The sequence below is a fragment of the Homo sapiens genome, chromosome 19 (assembly GCF_000001405.40).
Source record: "Homo sapiens chromosome 19, GRCh38.p14 Primary Assembly".
Taxonomy (NCBI): Eukaryota; Metazoa; Chordata; class Mammalia; order Primates; family Hominidae; genus Homo; species Homo sapiens.
The window spans coordinates 4,704,955-4,731,867 of NC_000019.10; the positions used below are offsets into that span (position 1 = coordinate 4,704,955).

The 26,913-nt window shown below is 54.0% G+C and overlaps 1 protein-coding gene, 1 long non-coding RNA gene and 2 other non-coding genes across 50 annotated transcripts in view, besides 7 other annotated features; 2 read left to right on the forward strand and 2 right to left on the reverse strand.

Moving 5' to 3' along the window:
- DPP9 (dipeptidyl peptidase 9) overlaps positions 1 to 18,888 on the reverse strand; it is a 48,616-nt gene extending 29,728 nt beyond the window's left edge. For 21 of the 45 annotated variants that reach the window (NR_169285.1, NR_169289.1, NR_169290.1 and 18 more), the window contains exons 1-5: positions 18,720 to 18,888; positions 17,545 to 17,597; positions 14,897 to 14,987; positions 9,127 to 9,383; positions 904 to 1,016 (exon numbers count right to left, since the gene is read on the reverse strand). Coding sequence is in view for 34 of the 45 variants with exons in the window: in NM_001384619.1 (NP_001371548.1) it covers positions 904 to 1,016; positions 9,127 to 9,383; positions 14,897 to 14,952 (426 nt within the window). In the remaining 11 variants the exon portion in view is untranslated. The other 24 variants (NR_169287.1, NR_169286.1, NR_169288.1 and 21 more) reach the window with 14 other exon arrangements.
- Positions 8,119 to 9,318: an enhancer, noted in NCBI's record as "CDK7 strongly-dependent group 2 enhancer chr19:4713085-4714284 (GRCh37/hg19 assembly coordinates)". NCBI's record gives its function as "activates an origin of replication core promoter dependent on BRD2, BRD4, P300/CBP, MED14 and CDK7 cofactors, with strong dependence on CDK7, by STARR-seq in HCT116 cells {active_cell/tissue: HCT116}" and the evidence as "EXISTENCE:reporter gene assay evidence [ECO:0000049][PMID:35650434]".
- Positions 8,119 to 9,790: a biological region, named in NCBI's record as "CDK7 strongly-dependent group 2 enhancer GRCh37_chr19:4713085-4714284".
- Positions 8,789 to 9,290: an enhancer, noted in NCBI's record as "H3K4me1 hESC enhancer chr19:4713755-4714256 (GRCh37/hg19 assembly coordinates)". NCBI's record gives its function as "activates a minimal SCP1, AML or CMV promoter by ChIP-STARR-seq in primed H9 embryonic stem cells {active_cell/tissue: H9 hESC(primed)}" and the evidence as "EXISTENCE:reporter gene assay evidence [ECO:0000049][PMID:30033119]".
- Positions 9,291 to 9,790: an enhancer, noted in NCBI's record as "H3K4me1 hESC enhancer chr19:4714257-4714756 (GRCh37/hg19 assembly coordinates)". NCBI's record gives its function as "activates a minimal SCP1, AML or CMV promoter by ChIP-STARR-seq in primed H9 embryonic stem cells {active_cell/tissue: H9 hESC(primed)}" and the evidence as "EXISTENCE:reporter gene assay evidence [ECO:0000049][PMID:30033119]".
- On the forward strand, positions 17,926 to 20,633 carry LOC105372250 (uncharacterized). Of its 3 annotated transcripts, none has more exons than XR_936274.2 (3): positions 17,926 to 18,032; positions 19,666 to 19,755; positions 20,181 to 20,633. It is a non-coding gene; the product is annotated as an uncharacterized LOC105372250 (long non-coding RNA). The 3 variants fall into 3 exon arrangements; XR_936273.2 differs by lacking the exon at positions 17,926 to 18,032 and adding an exon at positions 18,122 to 18,984; XR_936275.3 differs by lacking the exon at positions 17,926 to 18,032 and adding an exon at positions 19,269 to 19,307.
- Positions 18,689 to 18,838: a silencer, noted in NCBI's record as "silent region_9902". NCBI's record gives its function as "represses an Ori minimal core promoter by ATAC-STARR-seq in GM12878 lymphoblastoid cells {active_cell/tissue: GM12878}" and the evidence as "EXISTENCE:reporter gene assay evidence [ECO:0000049][PMID:35858748]".
- Positions 19,069 to 19,158: a silencer, noted in NCBI's record as "silent region_9903". NCBI's record gives its function as "represses an Ori minimal core promoter by ATAC-STARR-seq in GM12878 lymphoblastoid cells {active_cell/tissue: GM12878}" and the evidence as "EXISTENCE:reporter gene assay evidence [ECO:0000049][PMID:35858748]".
- On the forward strand, positions 19,116 to 19,187 carry TRG-TCC1-1 (tRNA-Gly (anticodon TCC) 1-1). Its single transcript has one exon. It is a non-coding gene; the product is annotated as a tRNA-Gly (tRNA).
- Positions 19,609 to 19,808: a silencer, noted in NCBI's record as "silent region_9904". NCBI's record gives its function as "represses an Ori minimal core promoter by ATAC-STARR-seq in GM12878 lymphoblastoid cells {active_cell/tissue: GM12878}" and the evidence as "EXISTENCE:reporter gene assay evidence [ECO:0000049][PMID:35858748]".
- On the reverse strand, positions 19,681 to 19,753 carry TRV-CAC3-1 (tRNA-Val (anticodon CAC) 3-1). The gene has a single exon. It is a non-coding gene; the product is annotated as a tRNA-Val (tRNA).
- Positions 20,634 to 26,913: the final 6,280 nt, after the last annotated feature.

Here is a 26,913-nt window from a genome sequence, read left to right on the forward strand (position 1 = left end):
GCCACTGCACTATAGCCTGAGTGACAGAGTGAGACTTTGTCTCAAAAAAAAAAGCAGAATCAAAAGCAAAATTACCCCTACACTCTGTGGAAAGCAGTGTAAACACAAGGACACTGGCTTGGGGACTCAGAGACAGGCCAAAGTGAGGGCCAGTGAACCAGTGGTGGAGAAAGTGGGAGTGTCACGATCTCAGCCACTGTTAGATATCATTATTGTTACATTGTTATGTTTATGTTGTTACTATGTTATAATGTTATGTTATTTTTATTGCTATATTGTTACTATTTTAGAGACTGGGATTCGCTGTCTCCCAGGCTGGAGTGCAATGGTGAGATCACGGCTCACTGTAGCCTTGCCCTCCTGGGTTCAAGAGATCCTCCCATCTCAGCCTACCAATTAGCTGGAACTACAAGGCGAGTGCCACCAGGCCTGGCTAATTTTATTTTTTGTAGAGACAGGCTCTTGCTGTGTTCCCCAGTCTGGTCTCAAATTCTTGGGCTCAAGCAATCCTCTTGCCTCGGCCTCCCAATCATCAAACACAAAAACACGCCAATCAATGCAAAAGGCATTTTTCCTCCCTCAACTATCCCCAGAGAGCCAACACTGGATGAGATTGATGATTAACCAGTCTCTCTAAAAGGGCCTCAAGCCAAGTTAATTCCCAATCTTTGGTGATGCCGTTAAAAGGAAGAGATGCTTTTGGTAAGAGTTTCTCTGTCGCTTGAGTACAGGTGGTCAGGGGGAGGAGGGAAGGCTCACCCGCCAGAGTCCACAGGACGGAGGGTTTGTGGGAACTCACAGCCGGTGGGGCAGAGAGGTGACCGAAGGCATGTATGGCCTGTGGGGCTGGCCTTTGCCACCTCCTCGCCCACGGTAGGGCCCACGCCTAATAGCACAGCTTACCTGGAAATGATCCAGCATCTGCTTCCAGGACAGGAGCAGCAGAGCCTCTTTCCGGACCTTCTTGGGAATCTCAGAGTAGAGGAGGGAGTTCTCTCGGCTGCCATATGGCATTCCTAAAGGGAGAAAGGAAACACCCAGAACGGGTACCCTGGCTCAGGATGGGGAGACGCCCTCAGCCTGCAGCTGGGCCCAGCTGGTTCCCTCTGCTTCTAGAACATTCTGCCAGGCCGCCGGCGGGACAGCCCTCCCCGGAAAGCTATGGATCCTGGGTTTGCTTAAGTAGGCAGTAGGGCCTTCCACCTGAGATATTTCTGCTGAATCTCACGGCCTGAATTACCGAAGAAACAGCACACAAGAGGCTGGGCATGGTGGCTCTTGTTTGTAATCCCAGCACTTTGGGAGGCCGAGGCGAGAGGACTGCCTGAGCCCAGGAGTTTGAGACCAGCCTGGGCAACATAGCAAGGCCCCGTCTCAAAAAAAAAAAAAAGAATAAAATAAAAGAAAAAAGAAAGAAAAATAAATCGCACACAAGAGAACAAGAAGGGCAGTCAGAAACAAACATCCAACTCTCAACAGGTTGGGTTCGGCTCTCCAAGGCCCTTTATCAAGGCTTTTGCAGACGACAAGAATTTAATATAGGATTAGAGGGAGGGCAAAACCATCAAAAAGGAATGAGGGCCAGGCGACATGGCTCACGCCTGTCATCCCAGCACTTTGGGAGGCCGAGGCAAGCAGATGACTTGAGGTCAGGAGTTCGAGACCAGACTGGACAACATGGTGAAACCCCATCTCTACTAAAAACACAAAAATTAGCCGGGCGTGGTGGCACGCGCCTGTAATCCCAGCTACTCGTCAGGCTGAGGCAGGAGAATCACTTGAACCTGGGAGGCAGAGGTTGCAGTGAGCCGAGATTGCGCCACTGTAGTCCAGCCTGGGTAACAGAGCAAGATTTTGTCTCAAAAAAGGGAATGGGGAAGCGTGCACCTGGTCCAGTATTTCCCAACCTCGCCCCTAATTACATTCGGGCCTGGACCATCCTCCGGGGTGGGGCTGTCCTGACCACTGCGAGGCGCTGAGCAGCATCCCTGTCCTCCGCCCACTCCATGCCAGGGGCACCCCACAGTCGTGACAACCACACATATCCCCAGGCATCTCCCAGTGTCCCCTGCAGGGGCAGAATCACCCCGACCTCAAACCACTGATTTAATCGAAGCTTCTGTAGAAAATGACGGTAGTGAGAGCTGCCAAGCGAGGGTTTTGGGTGGATTACATGAGGTAAGAAACGTAAAGCTCTCGGCACAATGTGTGTGACCCTCTGTGAAATCAGCGTATTTCATCAGTAAGCCGCGGCTTTCCACCTACGCATGTCTCTGGGCTTGGGATGGGTCTTACTGCGGAAGGCGCAATCAGGTCCTTAGTGGCAAATAAAATAACTGTGTATTTTCCAAATGGTCATGTCTTAGATCTGCTGGATGACAGTACAATTGTCATTAGAAAAGGGAATGGCAGAAGCAGGATGGTAACCCCTGGGAAGCCTCGGTTTCCCCTCTCCATGCGACACCACTGAAAAACCGGGACAGGGCTCCTCCAAGCATAAAGCTGTCCAGTAGCCCACAAACGTGACATGACTAACGACAAGTCACAGACAGCCCGGTGCCCTGGCCCCTCCTTGCTCTACTTTCAACCCTGAGTTTCTCCAGGACGAAGCCTCGGATTGGTGCTGTCCTGTCCTCTTTTCAGGACCTCCTCATACTCGCTTTTTTTTTTTTTTTTTTTTTTTTTTTCTGAGACACAGTCTCGCTCTGTCGCCCAGACTGGAGTGCAGTGGCACGATGTTGGCTCACTGCAGCCTCTGCCTCCCAGGTTCAAGCAATTCTCCTGCCTCAGCCTCCAGAGTAGCTGGGATTACAGGCGCCCACCACCACACCCGGCTAATTTTTGTATTTTTAGTAGAGATGGGGTTTTACCATGTTGGCCAGGATGGTCTCGAACTCCTGACCTCAGGTGATCTGCCCACCTTGGCCTCCCAAAATGCTGGGATAACAGGCATGAGCCACCACACCCGGCCCTTGCTTGCTTTTAAGAGGAGAACAGGAAGGCCACAAGCTCGCCGCCTCTGGGATTAGTGCTTAATTAGTAATATCTGTGCCATTTTTATTTCTTGTTACAGGCAGCCGCAGGGTCCTCCAGTTCCTCCTGCTTGCTTTCTGTGTCCTGACTGAAAATCACAGACTGCCCTGACCTCTGTGGCTCAGCCAGCTGCAGGTTTTTCCCTACAGGCTTGAACCAGAGCCTAGAACATTCCCAGGCACTGATAAATACCGAAAGCCAGCCCAGGCCCTGAGCCAAAATCCTTAAACCCTCACATAAACTCCATACCCTGACCCCCTTGCCGAGGACACACCTGGCTGTAGAACACGCCTTTTCTCTGATGCCCATTGCAAGGACACTGAAGCCCACCCTGCACCGAAGACCCCCTGGAAAATGCTTTGGACTCATCCCCCTGGCATTTAGGGTTCCTTTCTTTGGAATCCCAACCAGCCCCATCTGGGGACGGTTCAGGGCACTCCCTTGTGGGAACTCCTCTGCTGCTGCTTTTGGGGTGACTGTAGCTGTGGGTTCAGTGGGATGAAACAGAATCTTCTCACTATTCACAACAGCAAAGACATGGAATCAGCCTAAATCCATCAACGGTAGACTGGATAAAGAAAATGTAGTACATATACACCACGGAGTACTCTGCAGCCATAAAAAAGAATGAGATCATGTCCTTTGCAGGGACATAGATGGAGCAGGAGACCATTATCCTTAGAAAAGTAATGCAGGAACAGAAAACCAAATACCACATGTTCTCACTTTATAAGTGGGAGTTAAATGATGAGAACACATGGACACATAGAGCAGAACAGACACTGGGGCCTATTGGAGGGTGGAGGGTGGAGGGGGAGCAGCAGACAAAATAACTATCGGGTACTAGCCTGGGTGATGAAATAATTTATACAACAAACCCCCGTGACACAAGTTTACCCAAAGAACAAACCGGCACATGTGCCCTTGAACCTAAAAGTTTGTTTTCTTGAGAGAGAGTCTCGCACTGTCACCCAGGCTGGAGTGCAATGGTGCAATCTTGGCTCGCTGCAACCTCCACCTCCTGGGTTCATGCGACTCTCCTGCCTCAGCCTCCCGAGTAGCTGGGATTACAGGAGCACAACACCACACCCGGCTAATTTTTTGTAGTTTTAGTAGAGACAGGGGTTTCACTATGTTAGCCAGACTGGTCTTGAAATTCTGACCTCGTGATCTGCCTGCCTCGGCCTCCCAAAGTGCTGGGATTACAGGCGTGAGCCACCACACCCGGCCAGTTGTTTGTTTGTTTTTTTTTTTAAAGAAAGAAACAGCAACTTCTAGTTGTGGCAAGGAACACAGGTTTCCCACGCATGAGGAAGCGCGCTTGTGAAGTACAGTAGTGACGGAAGGATGTACTTAAAGAAAAAGATTAGATTAACAGGGTTCCTTTTAAAGTGTATTTATGAAAAATGCAAAGTTCAGTGAGATGTGTGTGGGAAGGAGAAAAATCGTGCGGAGACTCAGGGGTGAGCAAAAGAACGCAAGTGCTGGAAACACGACTCAATCTCTAAGAGCCCTTGAAGCTGCCAGGACCCTGCCCGTCCGGCCGCCCATGGGGATGAGGGTCAAGTGATGTGTGATTTCGCTCGTGTGAAATGTCCAGAACAAGCCAATCCACAGAGACAGGAAGTGGGTTCATGGTTGCCCGGGGCTTGGGAGTGATGGTTGATGGGGTTGCTTTTTGGGGCGAGTGAATGTTCTAGAAGTAGACAATGGTGATGGCTGCACAACTCTGTGAATGCGTGACTAAAAGCCACTGAGTTTCACACCTTCAAAAGTGAAACTGTGCAATGTGAATTACATCTCAATTTTTAAAAAGCACCCTGGGCCAACAGGAGGGGTGGGAGGGATGGGAGGGCCTGGGCAGCTAGTCCACAGGGACTCTCCAGGAGAGCTGGAGCTTTCCAAACAGGAAATCAAAGCCACAGACTTGCCAAGGACACCAGGGCCACCTCCTTCTAGGCTGATTAATCAATGATCACCAAATGGCCCCTGCCAGCACATTCCTCGGGCGAGCTGCTGCTGGCACTATGATGGTGACAACTGGCCTTTGAGGCAAGGGCTAGAGGTGACCGCCAAGGGCTGTGGATTTCTGCTGCCCCATCCCTCCTCGGACCTCCCTCACCAGCTCTGCCCCTGCAAACACACCTGATGCCAACCTGTCACCCACCCATGCCCCGGTGACCCAGGCCTGCGCAAACACCATTTCCCGTCACTGCACGCTGTGGCCTCGAGTGGCTGGCCTGGTGGGGGATCGTGATCCACACAGGGCTAGGGCTCTCCCCTGGATCTCAGCCTGGGACGTCGGGAGACAGGAATTCTTGCTTTCCCTTTCGAGGGAGTTCCAGAACTGTCTGGAACCCTGTGGCCTCCTCCAGCCACAGAAGTCACCGTTTGCAGTGGGGAGAGGCTGATCCGCGTGGGGCGGGAGCGGGGTCGGGAGCGTTTCCCAATGCTGCAGTCTGAGGCCTGGAACCTGAGCCGGCCCCAGCCCATCTTCCCAGCAGCAGGAACCGCACGTTCCCCCGCTGCTCCTGCTAGCCTGACGCTGGGGGCTTTATCATGTGGATCTGAAAGAGCCTTTCCGGAGGGGCCCAGTGATTAGCTCCACATGCCCCACAGCAAACCTGGTGCCTGCTGAGGGGACAGGTCCCATGCTTTGAGCAGCAGGCCAGGCCTGGCCTTGAAGTCTGGACACTGGGCTAGTGCTAAGAAGTGTTATTATTACTCAGGGGCTGGGGGGAGGCCTGCCCCGAGAACCTGGATGTGACGTGAGCTCAGTGCTGCCCCTGACAGTGTGAAGTGACAGCCTGGAGTCGTTGAAGGGTGAATTTCACCCCGAAAGGGGCAGTCTGGTTTTTGAGCTACTCTAGGTACGTTCTGGGGTTTCTGCCAAGTTCATGCCCACTGGGGTGGGCCCTCAGCACCTCCTGTGTACTGTGAGGACCTGCCTGTCCCAGCCCCAGACACACACACGAGCCACAGGCGACCCGACGATCTCATCTATGCGGAGTCAATCTGAATCTTTGTCCCGGAAATTTGGAGAAAGTTCCTCCGTTTCTGCTGGTGGCTAGAACCTGAGGCATGGAATCCCAGGCGCTGTGGAGGGGTTGCGGAGGACAGGTGGGCAGCGAGGTGGGGTGGACCCAGGCACGGACAGATGCCTGGCTTCTGGAAGGCTCTGGTTCTCAGGCGCTGCTTCCTGAGGTCCACTGGGCTTTCTGCTCTTGGGTTCCATGAGATGCCCCTCTACCTTTACTCCAGGAGTACTTCATGGCTCAGACGAGCTTGGAGGGTTTCTGTCCCTTTTAGCAGCTCCACGGAGATTTGAATGATGGCCCTGACAGAGAGGTGTCCACATCCTGGGGCTCGGGTGTGGAGGCTACGTTACACAGAGAGACAGGCCTGTGCGGCTGGGATTAAGTGAAGGCTCTTGAGCTGAGGAGATGATCCTGGATTACCCAAGTGACCCAGATGGCATCATGAGTCCTTATCAGAGGGAGGCAGGCCAGGCACGGTGGCTTACGCCTGTAATCTCAGCACTCTGGGAGGCTGAGGCAGGCGGATCACCTGAGGTCAGGAGTTTGAGACCAGCCTGGCCAACATGGAGAAACCCTGCTTCTACTAAAAATACAAAAATTAGCTGGGTATGGTGGCAGGCACCTGTAATCCCAGCTACTCGGGAGGCTGAGGTAGGAGAATCGCTTGAACCCAGGAGGCGGAAGTTGCAGTGAGCCAAGATTGCGCCATTGCACTCCAGCCTGGGTGACAGAGCGAGACTCCATCTCAAAAAAAAAAAAAAAAAAAAAAAAAAAGGAGGCAGAGGGGAATTTCAGACAGAAGAGAAGAAGAGGAGGAGGAGGAAGCTGTGTGACCATCAGGCCAGAAGTTCCAACGTTGTGGCCACAAGCCAAGGGATGCTGGCCGCCACCAGAAGCTGCAAGAGGCCAGGACTGGTTCTCCTCTGGAGCCTCCAGAGGGAGCGTGGCCCTGAGGAAACCTTGATCTTGGATTTCTGCCCTCCAGAAGTGTGAATAATTTTCACAATGGCAGCCACAGAAAACTCCTCCAAACGCCCTGACCAGGACAGCAACCCCAACGGGAGCAAGTGGCCCAAGACTGTGGGCGCCACAGGATAAAAAAGAGGCAACGGCCCATGGCAGCCGTGGTCTGTACACTTGTAGTCGTAACAGCCAAGCTCTCTCAGGTAACTGAAACTCAAGCCATTTCAGTCCAATTTCTCCCAGACTAGAGTTGGCCAGCATTCTTAAAGGCCCAGACAGCCCAGGTGCAGTGGCTGATGCCTGAAACCCTAGCATTTTGGGAGGCTGAGGCAGGAGGACTGCTTGAGCCTAGGGGCTCAAGACCAGCTTGGGCAACACGGCAAAACCTCATCTCTACAAAAAATACAAAAAATTGTCTGGGCATGGTGGCACGTGCCTATAGTCCCAGCTACCTGGAGGGCTGAGGTTGGGATGATCACCTGAGCCAGGGATTTCCAGGCTGCAGTGAGCTGTGATTACACCACTGCACTCCAGCCTGGGCAATGGAGTGAGACCTCATCTCTAAAAAAAAAAATGAAAAATAAAAGGAAGACAGTAAATGTTTTCAGCTACGTGGGCCATATGACCTCTGTTGCGGTGACTCTCCTGCTGTAGCTTGAGAACAGCCAAAGATGTCAGGAAAGTAACAGGGACCAGGAAAACCTGACTTCTGAAGACGGCTGTCACCTGCCGACCCCTGTTCTGGATGATTCTTCCTTTTAAATTCTTTGTTTGCCAGACCACCATCTGATTCCCACACAAGTCTGTCTGTGGAGAGGGACTGCGCTGATGGCGGAAGAAGACAGCCACCTGGTGTCCACCTCGGTCACTGTTGTTAGCATGTGGTCAGCCTCAGGCAGAGGATGACGGCCGTTCACTGGTTCCAATGCTGGCTGGGGGCTGCAGCACACGCGGGCCTGGGCTCAGGGGCTGAGGACACCACCATGAGTCCCATGGATGAGTGCAGCGGTCTGGACAAGGATCCCAGCGCCACCCCACCCCCAAGGAACACTTGGCGATGTCTGAGGACATCTGTGGTTGTCACCACTGGGATGTGGCTGCTCCTGGCATGGAGTGGGTGGAGGCCAGGAACGCTGCTCAGGACCCTGCAGTGGCCGGACGGCCCCACCCCAGAGAACGATCTGGCCCCAATGTCCATGGTGCCAAGCGGGAGAGACGCTGCCTTTGGTCCCCAGCCATGTGTCACGCTGCTTTCAAAGACACAGGCCTGGCTGATCTCTCCAAGGTGTCCTTCCTCCCAGCTCTTAAGGCCTCTGGGTGCAGTGGGCACCATCCGAATATCCGCTGCCCACCTCACGGGAGCCAGGCCCACAGTGGCTGCAGAAGCTGCTGGAGGACATGCAGCCTAACCCGTGCCCTGAAGGCACTCGTGGTGCAGAGGAGCCCAGTCCCGTGAGGCACTGCAGACGCTGCAGGAGGAGCTGCGTGCAGGCACACGCCCAGAGGAGGAAGTGTGGATCCAGAGCCTGCAGCAGGGGCTGCAAGCGCGTGGCAAGCCGCCCCTGTGCTGTCACCGGCGGCAAACCAGGTTCTGCCATCCGGGCGGCTTTCCCGGAACCTCGGGATCCTTCTTGACGCACCTCCACGGCGAGCTCCTCCTGGAGTTACTCCCGACTCCCTCTGGGAATGGTTCAGTCCAGTCCTGTTTGTCACGAGCCCCACCCAGCCCGGACCAGGTGGCTGGGAAGTGACTCAGGGGGTGGACCCGGCTGACTAGCACTGGAAACAATCTCCGGGCTTGGAGCCACAGGGCCGGCTTGAGCCACGGCATCCTGGCCACATGGAGGAGCGGGGCTGCCCTGTGCATGGCTCCCTGCACGGCTGACCCTCCGGGGGCCGCCCCACCCACCCCGCGGCAGCCCTTCCCTGTAGTCAGAGCTGTCTGTGGCTGAGCCTCGAAGGACAGCATGCCCAGGGCCCAGCCATCCGAGCAGATCTTCCAACTCCTGTGGACCTCTGGGAACAGAGAGGACCAGGGAACTGTGGTCCCAGATGCTGTCCCCGCCCAAGCAGCCTGCAGGGCCCGGCTTACCCAGGTAGTAGAGGCGGTGGGAGTGGGGCCCAGACTCATCCGTCTTCTGCACAAACTGGAAGTCGTGGGGCGCCTTGTTGACAATGAGGCCCGAGTACTTGCGGCTGCCGTGGATGATGCTCCGGAGCCCGTCCCACGAGTGCTTCTGCACCTGGAAGCGGGCGGCCGGGTCATCTGTGGCGGCTGCGTCGCCTCGGTCGGCCGTTGGGGTCCCGGTGGTGGCCATCCTCTCAGCCCCCTCGGAATTCAGCGAGAAGCTGCGGGGAGGAAGCAAAGACTATGAGAAAGGAGAACTGTTTTACCTACGAGCTGCCCCAATGCTGCCCCTTGCGAGGCACTCAGGTTCTTCCAGACGAGCCCCACCCCTGCCGCTTTCCCCACTCCCTAAACACTTCTTGGGTTGGTCTACCTCTCTCCATGTCACTAATGCTGCTAAGATTCAAGCCACCATCACCTCTCAAATGAATGATCTTTAAAAACATTCTTCTTTTTGGAGATGGGGGTCTCAACTATGTTCCCCAGGCTGGTCTCAAACTCCTGGCCACAAGCAATCCTCCTGCGTCAGCCTCCCAAGTTGCTAGGACTGCAGGTGTGAGCCACCATGCTTGGCTTTGGCTGAATGACTGAAACCACCTCCCACCAGGATGTTCCACATCCACTGCCAAGACCCCATCACTTAAAACCCTTCCTGGTTTTCCACAGTCCCCGGGATAACAACCAGTTCTCACCACCACCTCAAGGCTGCTGTCGACCCCTGCCAAGCCCTTGAATCTCATCCTTCTTATCCCTGTGACCCAGCCAAATGAGCCTTCACTCAGCTCCTCAAACAGGCCAAATTCCTTTCCACCGCAGGGCCTTTGCACATGCTGGCCCTCCTGCTCGGAGTGCATTTTTCCTCACTTTGCTTAACTTCTTTGATATATGTTTATATATATATACTTTTTTTTTTTTTTTTTTTTTTTTTTGGAGACAGAGTCTCCAAAGGCTGGAGTGCAGTGGCGTGATCTCAGATCACTGCAGCCTCTGCCTCTTAGGATCAAGCGATTCTCCTGCCTCAGCCTCCCAAGTAGCTGAGATTACAGGTGCCTGCCACCATGCCCAACTAATGTTTTTTGTATTTTTAGTAGAGACAGGGTTTCACTATGTTGGTCAGGCTGCTCTCGAACTCCTGACCTCAAGTGATCCGCCTCCCTCAGCTTCCCAAAGTGCTGGGATTACAGGCATGAGCCACTGCACCCAGCCTGCTTGGCCAGCTTCTAATCAGATCTCAGCTGAAGTACTTGGCAGGCCGTCAGAAACCTTTCACACCATCCACGCTGAAGCTGGTCTTTCTGCTCATCTTTCACACGCCACCTGGCTGTCCCCTCCCTCCACCTTCATCACAGCGGTTATTTGTGGGACCCCTGTCTCCCCCATGTCTGTCCCATTCACAGCTGTGCTCCCAGAACCTTAGCTGGTGGCTGGCACGTGGCAGGCATTCCACGGAGCACTGTGGAATGATTATCTCTCAGTGGGCTCGCGGGGAGACATGCTGGGTCTCGGGAGAGGCCCGGGCGTGAAGGAATGAAAATCCATCCTGGTCACCTGTGCTGTTGGCTTGCTGTCCAGCCGGGGAGATGCTTGGCCTTCACTGGAAGTTCCAGAGCCTCGGGATGTGGGAGGTGCAGGTGAAAGGGTGAATGGCACGCCCTTCCCCAAAGAATATCCCACTCTCTCCTCCCACTCAGGACACTCTGGGTCCGCAAAGCAGCCACCGTGAGTGGCCGCCGCGGTGTCACATCTCCCACCACCCCACTCCCGCCCTCGTCACTTAGCACACTCCTTGACCTGACTGGACTGGCCAGGCAAATATTTGTTTTACAGAAATCTAAACATGGCCGCAGTGACCCAGTTCTGCGAGAGCCAGTGGTCTGGAAAGGGTGGCACCGGGGCTGGTCTCGCTTCCCTTTGTGGGCTCCGAGTGACTGCCGACCTTGCCAGAAGCCCTGTCCTCCGGGACCAACAGCTTGGCTTGGGGAAGTCGCTGCTTGCTTGGAGGAAGTGGGAAAACCCGCGGGAGTGGACAGCAGGGACTGGGTGTGAGAGAAGTAAAGGGCAGAGATGAGTGGGCCGCCTTGACTCTGCAGTGTGCCAGTTCCCAGAAGACTCTGCCTCTTGCCAAGAGGAGACCCCACAGGGTAACCACTGCAAGAGAAAGGGCCCCAGCCTGCTTTGAGAGGGAAGGGGAGAAAGAGCTGCAAGGATGTCAACGAGCGCCTTTGAAAGATCAGGACTTGGCCGGGCACAGTGGCTCATGCCTGTAATCTCAGCACTTCGGGAGGCCAAGGCAGGAGGATCATGAGATCAGCAGATCGAGACCATCCTGGCTAACACGGTGAAACCCCATCTCTACCAAAAATACAAAAAATTAGCCGGGCGTGGTAGCGGGCGCCTGTAGTCCCAGCTACTCGGGAGGCTGAGGCAGGAGAATGGCGTGAACCCGGGAGGCGGAGCTTGCAGTGAGCCGAGATCGTGCCACTGCACTCCAGCCTGGGCGACAGAGTGAGACTCTGTCTCAGAAAAAAGAAAAAAAAAAAAGAAAGAAAGATCACGACCTGCAATTGTCACCTCATTTGGGCCTTACTTGGGCTTGTGACAGCCCATTCTACAGGTGGGGAAACTGAAGCTGGGAGGTCACTGGAGCTTGCTCCCAATCAGAGCCGAGTGAATGAGCAAAAGGGGTTCAGTGGAGGCAGCCCGGCCCCCGGCCTCCCACTGACATGCTGTGTGATAAGCCCAGCAATTACAGCAGGAAAAGTCACAGAGTGCAGCCCAGAGAACTGCCCGTGCCGTGCTCTGCGAGACACCCGTGTCCTGTGGGAAGGTCCCGTAAGCCAAGGAGAGTAGAAGCCACCTCAGCAAGGGACATACGAAAGGCTCATGGGGCGGAAGACCCCTTGGGAAGGTGGCTTCTGAGTATCACGGCTGTGGGCTGATTTCTGGAGGTCCCTCTCCAACTCGACCCCAAAGAAATGACAGGGGAAAATGCTTCCCTTGTTTCATCCTACTCCATCCAGGCAGGGCCAGCGTGTCCTGCCCTCCAGCCAGAAGGGGCGCAGTTTGTTAGTTCAGCTCCTCCTGAGACAGAAATAAAGACACGAACCAAAGGACATCAGCACTTACAGGGCTCTCAGGTCACACACAGGATGTCCGCGCCCACTGCAGAGCTGCAGGTCCCCTCCAGGGCAGTGGGGAGCCACAAGCAGCGTTAGGCAGCGGCTGGGACCAGGACCGCCTGAGCACTCAAGAACCCCCACTGCCCCAAGCACTGCTGGCAGCAAGCCCAGAAAACTGAGCCCGGGGAGCTCCTCTGAGCGGCCTAAGCACCCCTCTAAGCTGTGCTGCCCCAATTCAAGCCTGGCTCACGGCAGCAAAGAAAAAATGTGACCTTCGGAGCTCCCAAAGGGGCCACCCATAAGCTGAGAGCCTGCCCGGAAGCACTTATAGACCCGCGTGGCTTGTTTTCATTGCAAAGAACAATAAAAATTATCTTGCCTCTGATCACCACTGATAGCCCAAGAAGCAAAAATTCGATCCCGGAGATGAGAAATGAAATGAAACATCGCGAGAAACTTCCAGGAATCTTCTGGATGTGGCTAGACTCTTTAGCTTGAGCTTCCAGACAGGCCGAGGCTTGGTGCTGGAGCCTGGCCCTCCGCTGACCTCTCTTCTACCCGGGGGCACAGCCCGGATTGCAGAGAGGCTGGCGCAAGAGTGAGGGAGCGAGGGCTAGCCTGTGATGGGCTTTCTCCACCTAGCACCACCCTATGCTGTGGCTCAGGGGAGTCAAGAGTTTACACAGCTGCAGAGATGGATTCCAGGCCACTTACTCAAGTCTACCTACTCCTTCCTTCGGCCAATCAGCTGGGTGCCTCTGCGGCCTGTGACACCACCAGCAAACAGCTCCAGACCTCCTAGCATGGTCTCTGTCAAGGCTGGGTGGCAGATCTGTGATCTCCTTTTTAAATTTTTCATTTTTTTTAAGAGATGGGGTCTTGCTATATTGCCCAGGCTGGTCTCAAACTCCTGGGCTCCAGCGATCCTGCCACCTCGGTCTAGCAAATAGCTGGGATGAGAGGGGTGCAAGCCACCGTGCCCAGCTCCAAAGCTCTGTGATGTCTGTGTCTGAGCTGGTGCTTTGGTGGCGAGCGGGGGCGGGGGAGTAGTTGGAGATGGGGGAAGTATTTGGACGCCTAGAAGGAACTGTAGATTCAGTGCTGACTGCAGTTCTGAGTTCAGGCCGACCACAAGGTGATAAGGCAGAAAGAAAGGTGGGAGCCCCTGGCTGGCGTGGGGCAAGGGGCGTATGGGGGTGGTGAGGACAGGGTCCTACCCATGCGCTGGATGGGGAAATGCCTCAAGGTGGACTTTGGGCAGCCGGCCCAGGCCAGGCAAGTGCCCCTGCAAGTGGGGGCTGCCGGGGAAACAGCATGCCACCCTCTGTCCTACCCAAACTGCCCCCAGCACTGCCTGGGCCTTTAGCTTTGATGAGCAACCTTTACAGAGTCACCCAGCAGCCTGTGCCCAGGTGGGACATTAAGTGTGTGCAGATAAGGGAAGGGACACAGATCCCCTTCAGTAACTGACCCCTAAGGCATGTGCCCACCAGACGCTGGGACCACCCGGTTTTAGAGCCCATGGCTGGGCCAATCATAGCCCTTCACACCGTCCCCGTCTTCCCCGGTCCATTCTTCAATTCCCTTCCCAGCTGAGCATGCTCCATTGAAGCAAACAAGCCTAAGAGTATTAGAAAATTGAATACTGAGAAAGGTTCGCAGGGTCGAGGAATTCCTACCGCCTTTTCATCTCGTGCCAGGCCCTGAGACATGGAGTTTACTGACTGCCCCGGGGGGTGCGTGTCTAACCACATTCCATCCACACCTGATTTTAGGGCACTTCTTCAGTTCTGGGATCCTCCTCATTTTCAGGACCAAAATAATGGGCTCACACCTGTAATCCCAGCACTTTGGGAGGCCGAGGCGGGCAGATCACAAGGTCAGGTGATCGAGACCATCCTGGCTAATGTGGTGAAACCCCGTCTCTACTAAAAATACAAAAATTAGCCAGGTGTGGTGACACGCACCTGTACTCCCAGCTACTTGGGAGGCTGAGGCAGAAGAATCGCTTGAACCCGGGAGATGGAGGTTGCAGGGAGCCAAGATCGTGCCACTGCACTCCAGCCTGGGTAACAGAGCAAGACTCCGTCTTAAATAAATAAATAAATAAATAAATAAATAAATAAATAAATAAAAATGGACTCAGTGAGGTTGAATGGCCTGTCCAATGTCACCCAGAGAGGAAGGGGAGTGGAGCCCCAGTCTCTTGGAGCCCAAAACCCACATCCTTACACTGAGATCAGCAGTTCTTACCCAGGAGTGATTCTGCCCCCAGCAAACACTTGGTGACATCTGGAGACATCTGTGGTTGTCTCAACTGAGGGGAGCTCCTGGCATGAAGTGGGTGGAGGCCAGGGACGCTGCTCAGCACCGTGAAGTGCCTGGGATGGCCCCACCCCAGAGAACATTCCAGCCCCAGCGTCCACAGTGCCGAGGGGGAGACCCCGCACTACGCCACACTGCCTCCTCGCTTGAAATAACCAGAACAGTCTTGGGGACGTGCTGGGGAAGCCAGGGGAGAGGGAAAGAAGGGGCCTTCCAGATCTTAGACTGTTGGGGAATTCCAGAAGCTGGGCCACATCCTCACGGATCAGGGCCTCCGAGGCCAACCTCACCTTCTCCAACTTCCGGTGTTCTCCTTGTCCAGGCGCAGTTTCTTAACCTTCCGCATTAACCGCTCAGCTGACCTCAGGAGGGCAGGGGTGCCTGCGGGCAAGTGGGAGGAGAGATCAAAGGGCTGCAACCCCAGCAGGTGGGGAGTGGGCGCTCCTGCCCCCTTCGCCCCCTCCTCATTGCTCCAGGCAGCCCCCCAAGCCTCCGGGGAGCACCCTGAAGCCAAGGGCATTCTGAAGAGACGATGCTTCAGGCCCTGGCCTGAAATGCAGGAGGTTCTGGGCATTTGCCAGAGCCCGTCATCTTTCTCAACAGGAGGTTCCTTTCAAGGTGTAAAGTCCCTGGGAGTTTCAAGTGACTCCAGGGACATCACACCAGGGCACCTGCTGGAAATAGAAGAATCCCAAATTCCTCACTGTGGCCGTTGCCTGATGGCCCTGGTGACCTTGCCTACTTGCTTCACCCTTGACCATGACCTTCGGCCACACTTGCCTCCTTCTTGTCCCTCAACACACCTGCTCGCTCCTAGCACACAGCTTCTGCACGACGCACCCCGTGGCCTGAAATGCCAGTTCCTGCTTTTGATATGACTTGCTCTTTCTTGCCCTGTGGCTCCTGATACCACCTCTTCAGAGGTCTTTCCTGAGCACCCCATCTGAAGATGCTACCTGGCGACCCCCATCACCACACCCAGACGCTGATACAATGGCCTGGACCATAATTCCAGTTGTCCCCTTCCCCAGGGAGAGTGGTTCTCAACTGGGGGCGATTTGGCCCCTCAGGGGACACTGGACAATGTCTGGAGACATGTGTGGCTGTCACAACTCGGGGGTGACCCTGGCATGGAGTGGGTGGAGCCCAGAGATGCTGCTTAGCACCCCACAGTGCCCAGGATAACCCACCTCAGAGAAGGATCCCACCTCAAATGTCAGCAATGCCAAGCCGGAGACCCCTGCATCCATTACTTGGGGAGAAACTTGAGTTCAACGCCTACGCTCATATTAATACTGGAATAAACTTCCCATGGAACAAGCATTCTAAACGAGGGGGACCCCCAGCTCCTGGGATTCACCTCCTTTCTCCCTCCCCACTCAGGGTGAGGATTTCAATGTGTGCAGCCTCCTGGGACCTTAGTAGGGCAGAGGATCATGGGACGCAGTCTCTTGGGGATCCATGGAATCCCCTAACCCAGGGGTCTCACCTGGGGATAACCGGCCCCCCCAGGGGACATTTTTGGTTATGACGACTGGGACGGTGAGGGGAGGCATGTGGCCAGTGGAGGCCAGCGATGCTGCTCAACCCCTTACAGTGGACAGAACAGCCCCCCTCCCACTCCTCTGCCAAGAATGACCCAACCCTAAATATCAGTGGCAAAGCTGAGAAACCCTGCTGTGGGTAAGGGGGCACTCCTCACGGGAATATCAGTTCCACAGGGCAGGCCACATCTATCCTGGTCCCAACAGATTGCCTGAGCCCAGACCATGCCTGGTCCTCAACAAACATTTCAGGTTGAATGAATGAGCTACTGTGCTTTCTTGGATGCCGTCTAAAGTCAAAGGGGCCCCTTGTTTGGTTGGTGCCCAACTACCTTCTCAGACAAGCCAGGTCCCATGATGCGCAGTTGCCCAAAGGCTTAAAGAAGAGAGGGCCAGCTGGGTACAGTGGCTCACGCCTTTAATCCCAGCACTTTGGGGGGCTGAGGCGGGCAGATCACCTGAGGTCTGGAGTTCGAGACCAGCCTGGCCAACATGGTGAAACTCCAGCTCTACTAAAAATACAAAAATTAGCCAGCTGTGGTGGTGCAAGCCTGTAATCCCAGCTACTCAGGAGGCTGAGACAGAAGAATTGCTTGAACTCAGAAGGCGGAGGTTGCAGTGAGCTAAGATTGTGCCATTGCACTCCAGGGGTGACAGAGCGAGGTTCTGTCTCAAAAACAAAAGAAGAGAGGGAAGCACATGGGGACAGGACTGAGATTTTAAGGGAAGAGGTTAAGCATAAAGTCACCACGAAAAATCACTGGCCATACTCTCAGTCCAGTGGTGAAAAGCGTGGGCTCTGGTCTCAGAGAGAAAGGTTCAAATCCTGACTCTGCCACTTCTGGGGAAGTCGCTGAACCTCTCTGAGCTTCCACTTCCCCAGCGAGAACATGGTATGACAGTATCTACGCCTGGGGCCACCAAGGGAATTGAATGAGACTGCACACATACAGCTTTTAACACAGTGTCTGATGTAGCACAAACTAAATGACAGCTAGCATTGTCAACTAAACAAGATACTCAAAACCACAGGAAGGGGGAGACTCAAACTAAAGTCCTTTCAGGGCCAGAATCCACACCATTTACTGACCGGGTCAGGCAGTGTAGGTGGATCCAGGCACCCCTCCACCAAATCCTGCTGAAATCAGCACTCTCCCCTTCCTCTCCTCAAAGCCTTCAAAAAGCTCCTTCCAGGGGCAGCTAGAGGGGGACAGGGGTGGAAAGAAAAGCCTCCAGCAGGCGCACAAAAAACTGCAGCCACTGCCCTGCGGAGGACAACCATCCAGGGCCATAGAAAACCATTTCCTGCCCATGTCTATATTCTAGAGCAGGCAAAGGAATCCCACCAGCCCACACCCCAGCCTTCCTGGCTGCCAAACCCCAGCACAACTGACCTTCTAAAGGGTCCAGAGAGCCTCCATTCCAGCTGCAGGCGTGGGACACAGACCTTTATAGGATAAACATGTCATGAATGTGGCAGGTTAATGGAAGCACCGGCCAGCCGTTCAGCCTCCCCCACTCAGGAGCTGCAGACTGTCAGGCCCGATTCTACCTGGCTAGATTCTAGCTCTGCCTTGAAGCCCTGCAGCACTGTCTGCATGCCCTGGACAGAATCTGGGAGAGAAGCCATCCCACGGGCCCCGATTCCCCTGGGACCCAGCAGAGGAATGCAGGGATTGGTGCCTACGGTCCACACCCCCTGGGCTTTAGTCCCAGCTCCTCGAAAGCAGGTTGGTTCTTGCCTGGGAGGCAAGTGACTTCCTCCTGGGGCCCCTGGGGAAGACCAGGGGGTGGGGGCCAAGGGAATAGACCACTTTTGATGGCTCAGAGGCAGCGTGAACAGGGAAGTGTCAGGGCTGGCCTAAGGCTGTGTGGGAAGAAGGTAGGCGGTTGGACAGGCCTGAGAAGGGAGGCTGAGAGAAGGGGGCTGAACCCTGTGGGCTGGACCCTTGGAAGACAGCTATGCTAACCACTACACCACCAACGCCTCGGCAGGAAAAAGAGTCTCTGGATACCCTTAATAGAGGGATCAAGTAGGGTTGAGGATCAGGACTGGATTGGGGAGACCAAGCCTCGGGGCGAAGGTTGGAGGAAGTGGTAAAGGAGTGAGGACAGGATGCAGGTCGAGGGAGGTGGCCTCTGTGCATATACAGCATTTGCATGGGGAGAGGGAGGAGATCGGGACCTCCAGAGCCTGCACGAAAGGGGAGAGGGTGTCAAGGTCTGCAGCTACGAGGACGTTCTTGGGTGCGGCCACCTCCGGAAGGGGTCAGAGCCTGGTGGCCTGGGCAGCAACGGGATGGGTGGGGAAGCCCATCAGGGAAGGGGAGAAACTGGGAGGTGGCCTGGCCAGCGCAGGAATCGGGGAGGGAAAGAAGGTGGAGGAGGGCCTGGGGCGGAGAGGAAACGAGGCAGGGGGCCGGAGGGACCCACAGACGGGTGCATGGAGGCTCCGGGGTGCGGGGAGGCCAGGCGATGGCGAGGGCAGGGTCAGGGCCGAGGCGGGGCCGGTCAATGGCGGGTTCAGGGTCGCGGCCGGGGCGGGACGAGGCGCGCGGGCGCTGCTCACCGGGACGTGGGGCGGCGGCCGGACTGGGCAGGTCGTCCCGGGTCCAGCGGCGCCTCACGGTCGCGGCTCCATGCCCGGGACTGCGACCCCGGAAGTGGCGGGAGCGGGGGACGACAGCCGCGGCGGACACAGGGGACCCGCCGGCTCAGGCACCTTTGACCCGGAAGTTGAGCGACCCAGGCGGCGGCCTGGGATTGGACACCACCAGGCACGTACCAAGGCGTCCGCGGCGCTTGGGGGGGAGCCCGCGGCGCGGCGGCCTAAGGTGCGTAACGCCCCATGAACGACATCTTCCGGTGGGTTAGGGAGAGACACCCCCCTGTGACTTGGTATCACTCAGTCAAACCCATGATCCCCCACTATTAAGGATATCCGGAGAGGATGCTACCTATCAGGGCGTTGGTGGTATAGTGGTTAGCATAGCTGCCTTCCAAGCAGTTGACCCGGGTTCGATTCCCGGCCAACGCATGCGGTACCACTTTTGCGAGTTTGAAATTTTCATTTTAGTTTTGAGACGGAGTCTCGCTCGGTCCCCCAGGCTGGAGTGCAGTGGCGTGATCTCCGCTCACTGCAACCACCACCTCCCAGGTTCAAACGATTCTCCTGCCTCAGCCTCCCAAGTAGCTGTGATTACAAGCGCACGCCACCACGCCCATCTAATTTTTGTATTTTTAGTAGAGATGGGGTGGGGTGGGGCGGGGTGGGGCGGGGTGGGGGGGGGGGGGCGGTTCACCATTTTGGCCAGGCTGGTCTCGAACTCTGACTTCAGGTGATCCGCCCTCTTCGGCCTTTCAAAGTGCTGGGATTACAGGCGTGAGCCATCAATCACGGAAAATTTTTTTAAATCCCATAAAAATGTCTAAAAGGCAGGAGGAAGGCGGAAGAGAAAGAATGGGACTAGAATCGTTCTTTCGGTGAATTTCAAATAGTATTACTCTCCGGTTAGGAAAAACAGCTGACCTGTTTCCGCCCGGGATCGAACCGGGGACCTTTCGCGTGTGAGGCGAATGTGATAACCGCTACACTACGGAAACCGGTAGGCGTCAGGGTTCTTTAAATTCTCCTATAGAGATAATGTTGCAGTGATAGTTGCGTTGTCCCACCAAAGAAACACTGGCTACAGTCAGCTAAAGCAATATCCGCTCTTCCTGAATATCTGTTATTGTATTTGATACAGTAGAGACCGAAAGAAGGAAAATAAGGAAGACAAAAAGAAATCCAATAAACACCCTTTCCAACACACCCACCCACCCACACACATGTTTATCACTTTATCATAAATCCACCTTCCATTAAAACAATGCACGTCAAACGGCCCACAAACCCATCCGGGGTCAAATGAAGCTTTTCATCTCATAGATATCAATCTATACTTGATATCACATTAGTTTCTGCAGATATTCACCATTTTGCTTTAGATCAAACTACTTTTTTGTGTGTTTTGTTTTTTGTATTTTTTAGAGAGAGTCTCGTTCTGTCGCCTAGGCTCGAGTGCAGTGGTACGATCATCCCTCCCTGCAGCCTCCACCTCCTGGGCTCAAGCGATCCTCCCACCTCAGCCTCCTGGGTAGCTTGGACCACAGGTGTGGACCACCACGCCTGGCTGAATTTTAAAAAATGCGTTTGTAGAGACGGTGCCTTATAGCTGGGACTACAGGCGTGTGCAACCACTCCCAGCTAACTTTTGTATTTTTTGTAGAGACTAGAGGGCCTGCACTATGTTGCCCAGGCTGCTTTCCAGCTCCTGACCTCAACGTGATTCGCCCGCCTGCAGCCTCCCAAAGTACTGGGATTACAGGCATGAGCCACCGCGCCCGACCCCAACTACACTGTAAAAGAGCTTTCTGAAAAGAAAAACTGTGTGTGTATGTGTTTACCTTCCGATGGAGTTTTGCTCCTGTTGCCCAGGCTAGAATGTAGTAGCGCAATCTCAGCTCACTACAACCTCCGCCTCCCGGATTCAAGCGATTCTCCTGCCTCAGCCTCCCAAGTAGCGGGGATTACAGGCACCCGCCACCACGCCTGACTATATTTTGTATTTTTACTAAAGATGGAGTTTCGCCATATTGGTCATGGCTGGTCTCGAACTCCTGACCTCAAGAGATCCGCCCGCCTGAGTCTCCCAGAGTGCTGGGATTACAGGCATGTGCCACCACGCCAGGCCTCTTTATTTTCTTAAAGAGACAGTAGAAGAGGTGGGAAGATGATGGCAAGAATTTAGAATCAGACTGCTGTAAAATTCTGCACACCCTCACTCCTGCGGGGCTGGGATTAGGGTGAGGAGACTAAAGCATTGTAAGGCACTGGCACCAGGTGCAAAAATTAAGGTGGTGCCAAAAAACTCAATAATCAAGATAAATAATATTTCAATACATCTTTTTTTCTCTCTCTGTTGTCGCTGGAGTACAGTGGCACAATCTTGACTTACTGCAACCTCCACCTCCCAGGTTCAAGCTATTCTCGTGCCTCAGCCTCCCTAGTAGCTGGGATTACAAACATGAGCCACTATGCCAGGCTAATTTTTGTATTTTTCGTAGAGATGGGATTCCACCATGTTGGCCAGGCTGGTCTTGAACTTCCGAGCTCAAGTGATACGCCCGCCTCCGCCTCCCAAAGTGCTGGGATTACAGGCGTGAGCCACTGCACCCCACCATAATATTCTTTTAAAAATTAGCCGGGCGCAGTGGCTCACGCCTGTAATCCCAGCACTTTGGGAGGCTGAGGAGGGCGGATCACGAGGTCAGGAGATCGAGACCATCCTGGCTAACATGGTGAAACCCCGTCTGTACTAAAAATACAAAAAAATTAGTCCCAGCTACTCGAGAGGCTGAGGCAGGAGAATGGCGTGAACCCGGGAGGCGGAGCTTGCAGTGAGCCGAGATCGCGCCACTGCACTCCAGACTGGGCGACAGAGCGAGACTCCCTCTCAAAAAAAAAAAAAAAAGAAAGAAAATTTAATTATTGGTTGGCCGGGAGCGGTGGCTCACGCCTGTAATCCCAGCACTTTGGGAGGCCAACACGGGCGGATCACGAGATCAGGAGATCGAGACCATCCTGGCTAACACGGTGAAACTCCGTCTCTACTAAAAATACAAAAAATTAGCCGGGCGTGGTAGCAGGCGCCTGTAGTCCCAGCTACTCGGGAGGCTGAGGCAGGAGAATGGCATGAACCCGGGAGGCGGAGCTTGCACTGAGTGGAGATCGCGCCACTGCACTCCAGACTGGGCGACAGTGAGACTCTGTCTCTAAATAAATAAATAAATAAATAAATAAATAAATAAATAAATTTAAACAAATAAAAATAAAATAATTACTGGTAAATAACTCCATCATGAACAAATTGTCAAAAGTTTCCATTGAGGCAAGTTTTCGTAGAGATTTGCCAAATTCTATTGGAGTCTAAAATGTGTACCTCTCTGTGCCTGTTTTTATGTGTTTTGAGGGGTTTTTGGGTGTTTTTGAGACAGGGTCTCACTGTCACCCAGGCTGGAGTGCGGTGGTGCAATCACAGCTCACTGCAGCCTCGACCTCCTGGGATCAAGGGATCCTCCCACCGCAAGCCTCCCGTGTAGATGGGACCACAGGTGGGTGCCACTATGCCTGGCTAATTTTTAAAAAAATTTTTAGTAGAGATGGGGTCTCGCTATCTCTCCCAAGCTGGTCTCAAACTCCTGCGCTCGAGTAATCCTCCCGACTTGGGTTCCCAAAGTGCTAGGATTACAAGGCTGAGCCACTATCCCTGTCCTGATTTTATGTATTTTAATGGTTATTTCTCTCAGAATGCTGTTGAAACCATATTGAAACATTAAAAGTAGATATATTAAAACTCACAACATTAAGAATGTATTCTAGGCCGGGCGAGGTGGCTCACGCCTGTAATCCCAGCATTTTGGGAGGCCAAGGCGGGCGGATCACTGAGGTCAGGAGTTCGAGACCAGCCTGGCCAACATGGCTAAAACCCATCTCTACTAAAAATACAAAATTAGCCGGGGGTGGTGGCACACGCCTGTAATCCTAGCTACTCGGAAGGCTCAGGCAGGAGAACAGCTTGAATGCAGGAGGCAGAGCTTGCAGTGAGCTGAGATCTCGCCACTGCACTCCAGCCTGGGCAACAAGCAAGACCTCTGTCTCAAAAAAAAAAAAAAAAAAAAAAAGACTGTATTCTAGCAAGGGCAACATAGCAAAACCCCATCTCTACAAAAAATATAAAAACTAGCTGGGTGTGGTTGTGCGCACCTGTAGTTCCAGCTACTTGGAAGGCTGAGGTGGGAGGATTGCTTGAGCCCAGGAGGTCAAGACTACAGTGAGCCATGATCATGACAAGCACTCCAGCCTGAGTGGTAGAGTGAGACCTTGTCAAAACACACACACACACACACACACACACACACACAACAACAACTCACTATGATAATTGTGCTTTTCTGGCTTTTTTTTTTTTTTTTTTTTTTAGACAGAGACGGAGTCTCGCTCTGTTGCCCAGGCTGGAGTGCAGTGGCGCCATCTCGGCTCACTGCAAGCTCCGCCTCCCAGGTTCAAGCCATTCTCCTGCCTCAGCCTCCTGAGTAGCTGGGACTACAGGTGCCCACCACCACACCTGGCTAATTTTTTGTATTTTTAGTAGAGACGGGGTTTCACCGTGTTAGCCAGGATGGTCTCGATCTCCTGACCTCGTGATCCACCCGCCTCCGCCTCCCAAAGTGCCGGGATTACTAGGCGTGAGCCACCGTGCCCAGCCAGTGGCTTTTTTGTGTGTGTGTATTTTTTTTTAGATGGAGTCTCACTCTTGTCCCCGAGGCTGCAGTGCAATGGCACGATCTCTGCTCACTACAACCTCCACTACCTGGGTTCAAGCTATTCTCCTGCCTCAACCTCCAGAGTAGCTGGGATTACAGGCACCCGCCACCACGCCCAGTAAATTTTTGTATTCTTAGTAGAGACAGGGTTTCACCACGTTGGCCAGGCTGGTGTCGAACTCCTGACCTCAGGTGATCCACCCGCCTTGGCCTCCTAAAGTGCTGGGATTACAGGCGTGATCCACTGCGCCGAGCCCATGTTCCCTTTTTATAAGGACACCCATGATATTAGACTACAGCCCACCCTAATGATCTCATTTTAACTTCATTGCCTTTGTGAAGACCCTATCTCCAAATAGGGTCATGTTCTTAGATACTCAGGGGTTAGAATTCTGACTTACCTTTCCGGGGAGTGGGACACAAGAGAGGGATTAGCCATTGTTTGATGAATTGCAACTAATTAACCAATCCCCTATTGTCGGTCTTCTAATGCTTCCCTGTTAACTAAGCTGCCACGAAATCCTGGTTGCTACAATTTATCATAATGTTGCCCATTTACGTGTCTGTTTCTGCTTAGAGCAAAACCCACTGAATCTAATGAGATGTCCTCATTCTCCAGTTCCACTTTCTCTTCTCCAATTATCTTTTTGTTTTGTTTTGAGAGAGTCTCGCTGTGTCCCCCAGGCTGGAGTGCAATGGGGTGATCGTGGCTCACTGTAACCTCCGCCTCCTGTGTTTAATCAATTCTGGTGCCTCAGCTTCCCGAGTAGCTGGGATTCCAGGCGTGCCACCATGCCCGGCTAATTTTTGTATTTTTAGTAGAGATGGGTTTTCGCCACGTTGGCCAGGTGGATCTCGAATTCATGACCTCAGGTGATCCACTGGCCACGGCCTCCCAAAGTGCTGGGATTACAGGCATGAGCCACTGCACCCAGCCTCCAATTCTACTTTGAGCTAAGGTGACTATACACCTGGCTTTGGCTAGGACGGTCCCGGTTTATGCCCCCACCCCCTCAGTGCCCCCTTTCTTGCTCAAAAGTGTGTTGATTGACCAGGCGCAGCGGCTCACGCCTGTAACCCCAGCACTTTGGGAGGCCGAGGTGGGCGGATCACCTGAGGTCTGGAGCTGGAGACCTGCCTGGCCAACATGGCGAAACCCCATCTCTATAAAAATATAAAAATTAGCCTGGCGTGGTGTGTGCCTGTAATCCCGGCTACTTAGGAGGCTGAGGCTGGAGAATCTCTTGAACCCGGGAGGCAGAAGTTGCAGTGAGCCGAGATCGCGCCATTGCACTCCAGCCTGGGTGGCAGGGCGAGACTCCATCTCAAAAAAAAAAAAGGGTCCTGATTTTGACTATAAATTATAGGGTCGCTCTGTCTTGAGCTTCAACACAGACTCCCGCATCCACCACTCCCCAGAAACTCTTCTCACTGATGACCCTCCTGCATCCGGTTCCAAGGTCAGTCTCTCCGTCCCAGTCCTCTCCATGGCATCTGACCCGCCGGATCCCTCCTGCTCCGGGGAGCTCTGTCCTCAGACCATGCACTTCCCTCCAACCTGTCTGGGACATCCTTCAGTCTTCCCTTCTCTCCATTGCTGGCCAAGGGCTGAGTCCTCCAGCCTCCTCCCTCCTCCACCCACACCCCTCCCCAGCGGGCTCCAAACCCCGTCTACAGCCAGCATCGCCTACAGTCTCATCTCCAGCCTGAGTCTCCCTTGAAGTCCAGACTCTGTTCAGCAGCCCCTGATGTCTCCACATGGGGGGCTCATGGGGTCTCACATTCAACGCAGTCACATTGGGCCCCACTGGACCCCCAAACCATTCCTCCCATGTCCACCACCTAGGCTGAGGGCAGGTCCGTCCTTCCAGGGACTCAACCAGAACCTGGGAGTCACCCTGGGCCTCTACTCTCCCACCCATATCCAATCACTCAGTAAATTTGATTAACACTGCTTTCAAAATGCACCTAGATAGGCCGGGCGCGGTGGCTCACGCCTGTAATCCCAGCACTGTGGGAGGCCCAGGCGGGCAGATCACCTGAGGTCAGGAGTTCGAGACCAGCCTGACCTACATGGAGAAACCCTGTCTCTACTAAAAATACATAGCTGGCCGTGGTGGCATGTGCCTGTAATCCCAGCTACTCGGGAGGCCGACACAGGAGAACTGATTGAACCGAGGAGGCAGAGGTTGCGGTGAGCCAAGATCACGCCATTGCACTCCAGACTGGGCAACAAGAGTGAAACTCCTTCTCAAAAAAACAAAAATGCACCTAGAATCTAATCACTGCTTTCCCACTCAGTGCCTGTTCCCTGGTCCAGCCTCCAGCACAGCTCACCTGAGCCAACACACAGTCACCCCTACCTGGACCCCAGTTCCTGCCCTCACCCCCCACAGGCTGTCTCCCCACCAGCAGCCACCAGAGGGTGCTTTTGAGCACCTGAGTCACTTCCTATCCCTCCTCTGCTCACAACCCTCCATGGCTCCCACCTCTCTCAGGGTCAAAGCCCAAGGCCTCCCCATGTCTCACCAGGTCTGGCATGACCTGCCCCATCCCCTCCCTGCCCTCTCCTCTTCCCTTTCTCCCCATTGCTCACTCTGCTCCTCCTCACTGTTCCTCCAACACACCAGGTGAAGTCCTGCCGCAGGGCCTTTGCACAGGCTGTGCCCTCTGGTGGACCCAGGTATTTCCAAGGCTCACTCCCTCTCTTCCTTCAAACCTTGGTTCCAAGGTTACCTCCTCAGAGGGCCTTTCCTGCCTGAGCCTGGCTAAGTGGTAGCCAGTCCTACCTGGCCTTGGAACTCACAAACTTGGTACCTATCATTTATACATGTCCTTCCAGGGCGGCGCAGTGGCTCACGCCTGCAGTCCCAGTACTTTGGGAGGCTGAGGGTGGCAGATAGCTTGAGGCCTGGAGTTCAAGACCAGCCTAACCAACACACTGAAACCCTGCCTCTACAAAAAAAAAAAAAAATACAAAAATTGGCCAGGCATGGTGGTGCATGCCTGTAATCCCAGCTACTTGGGAGGCTGAGGCAGGAGAATCTCTTGAACCTGGGAGGGGGAGGTTTCAGTGAGCTGAGATCATGCCACTGCACTCCGGCCTGGGTGACAGAGCAAGACTCTCTCTCAAAAAAATAAAAATAAAGATGTCCTCCCAATGGCTTTTTAGTCTCTGAAATAATCACATTTGTAGATCTGTTTGCTAATTTTGCCTCCATTTCCCTAGCCAGGCTATGAGCTTCACTAGCAGTATTTTTTGTTATTTATTTTAGTCCATTTTGTTTCCTATTGTGTCACTAAGTCTCAGTAAACATTTGTTGAAATTATGAACAAATGCACAGCCGGCCAAAGGAGAGAAAAGGCCTGGGGTTTGGAGATGGTAGTGAAGTAATACA